The sequence below is a fragment of the Homo sapiens genome, chromosome 11, assembly GCF_000001405.40.
Source record: "Homo sapiens chromosome 11, GRCh38.p14 Primary Assembly".
NCBI lineage: Eukaryota > Metazoa > Chordata > Mammalia > Primates > Hominidae > Homo > Homo sapiens.
Window position 1 is genome coordinate 112,773,648 of NC_000011.10, and position 2,501 is coordinate 112,776,148.

General features: G+C 49.4%; 1 long non-coding RNA gene across 1 annotated transcript; it reads right to left on the minus strand.

Moving 5' to 3' along the window:
- Positions 1-894: 894 nt before the first annotated feature.
- LOC124902801 (uncharacterized) lies at positions 895-1,928 on the minus strand. The gene is made up of 2 exons (XR_007062964.1): positions 1,784-1,928; positions 895-1,285 (listed from the first exon to the last, which is right to left on the minus strand). It is a non-coding gene; the product is annotated as an uncharacterized LOC124902801 (long non-coding RNA).
- Between the last annotated feature and the right edge of the window lie 573 nt (positions 1,929-2,501).

Sequence of the window (2,501 nt, forward strand, 5' to 3'; positions counted from 1 at the left end):
CATGAAAACATCTGAAATGCTGTCAAGCAGGAGCTGCCTTGCTGTGATTTATGTTTAAGGCTGCTGTGTGCAGAGAAGAGGCAGGAGGAGTCAAGGGCGCAGGCATCAGAAGCTACTGCAGAATTCCAGGGAAAGACAATGGTTGGAGATAAGGAGTGATGATGGGAAGGAGAAAAGGGGTCCAGAAGGGAAGGGGCAGTGAGATCTTTCTTTCCTATGCAGGAACTGCCCCTCTGGCCCACCCTTGCTCTCCTCTTCTCCCAGCAGGGGCCTCCGAGCACCCACCTCAGCAGGACAGGAAGTGTGGGTGCAGCCTCAGGGATAAGCCACTGTCCTCTGAAAGGAATCCCCTGCTTGGTGGCCAGCGTTCCCTACCTCCACTTCCTGCATAGCCCCTCTGCTTGGCCCAGATATAGGATTGCACTTCTGCCTCAGTTTCTCTGCCAAAATGTCCCCTTCTCCACCGGGAGTGAAAATCTGCCCAAAACCTCTTAGACTTGGCTGAATCCTGTTCCCCCTTCTGAACTCTCAGCCTCTTTTTCCTCTCAGGTGCCTCCACTGTACTCCACATCCAGGGCAGAGAAGACTGATCCCTCGCCTAGAATGACACTGCAGACCCCAGCAGTCCCCAGGCATTCCTGCCAGTCCCACCACCACCCTCCAAGCTGGCAAATCGCTGAGCCAACACACTGCTGCCCTCTCAAGGAGTCCCATCCTGCTGAGGCCAGCCTACTCTCTGCCCCAACCTGATGCTGGAGGTCCCAGCATCATCTGGTGCTGAATTTTCACACTTCAAGACAATGACATTTCAGGTTTTTGTGAGAAGGTATCAGGAACCATGCTAAGCCCTTTACGTGTTTTCACATTGGGTGGGGAGCAGTCTCAGAAGCAGTGTTGAGATGGAATATGCAGTGCAGATATTTATTAGGGAGAGGAGTGTGGGGGATGTAGGATGGGTGGAGGAAGAACTTGAACTGCAATATAGGCTCCATAAAGCCTCAGCCGACCTGGCAGAGAGCTCTGGAGTGAGTATACCCATCAGTGTCACTCAGCAACCAGGTAAATGCAGGCATCCCCAGGAATGGTGGGAATTCGAGCTGACTCTGCCGCTGAGGCAGAGCTGAAAGCTGGAAGCTCTCTGCTGACTGTACTCTGCCTCAGAGCTAGTTCTTCCTGGAAGGAGTCTGGGAGAACATGCCTGTGTTCTCCCCCGGGGCCACTTAGATCCACTTCCCCATATACTTTCAAGGAGCAGCTCCTCCAGGATTCCCACAGGCCTCTCTTCCTGAGGGAAGATCAAGACAATAGAGGTTAGTGGCGCCCACTCTGCATTTGCCTTCTTCCTCTTCTACTGTCCATTCTAGATTCCCCTCACCTTCAGTTACTGATATGGTTTGGTTCTGTGTCCCCACCCAAATCTCATCTCAAATTGTAATCCCCACATGTCAAGGGAGGAACCTGGTGGGAGATGATTGGATCATGGCAGCGGTTTCCTTCTGTTCTCATGATAGTGAGTGAATTTTCACAAGATCTGATAGTTTTATAAGAGGCTCTTCCCCTTTTGCTCTCTCTCAACTGCTGCCATGCAAGACATGCCTTGCTTCCCCTTCCACCATGATTGTAAATGTCCGTACAATTATTGAGGCCTTCCCAGCCATGTGGAGCTGTGAGTCAATTAAACCTCTTTCCTTTATAAATTAGCCAGTCTCAGGCATTTTTGTTTTTACAGCAGTGTGAAAACAAACTAATACAGTCACCAACTCTGCTACCTTTGTTGGCTTACCTGGTAGTGTAACCCAGATCCTTATCAACAAGGTTATGAGCCCTTCATCACCATGATCTTCTCATGCCTGGGTGTCTATACCTGTTCATTAACAGTAATAATTGAGCAGGGAAATACCAAGAGGTACCCAAGTGGGTCACCTGGGTTCCATACATATTCCTCCCTGTCCCCATTGTGCAATAACAGCCTCCCTTTCTTTTTTCTTTTTCTTTTTTTTTTTTGAGACAGTCTCACTCTGTCACCCAGGTTGGAGTGCAGTGGCATGATCTTGGCTCACTGCAACCTCTGCCTCCTGGGTTCAAGCAATTCTCCTGTCTCAGCCTCCTGAGGAGCTGGGATTACAGGCATGTGCCACCACATCCGGCTAAGTTTTGTATTTTCAGTAGAGACGGGGATTTACCATGTTGGTCAGGCTGGTCTTGAACTCTTGATCTCATGATCTGTCTGCCTCCCTTTCTTTTAAATACCGGGGTCAATTACTATTAAGATGGTGATGCCTTTTCTTGTCAATATGCCTGGGTGGAGGTTGCAGCATGTAATTCAATGGGATTTTTGCTGTGTCACCTGATGAAAGTGTACCCCTCATTGGGGACCAGGACTTCTTACCTTGCAGAGGTTAAGAGTTGTACAAAGTCTCCCAAAAGATCAGCAAGAGCATTGGTAAGTGGGGACATTCCTACTTCCATGTCTTGGTCTCTAGATCAGTGCATTCTTCCTA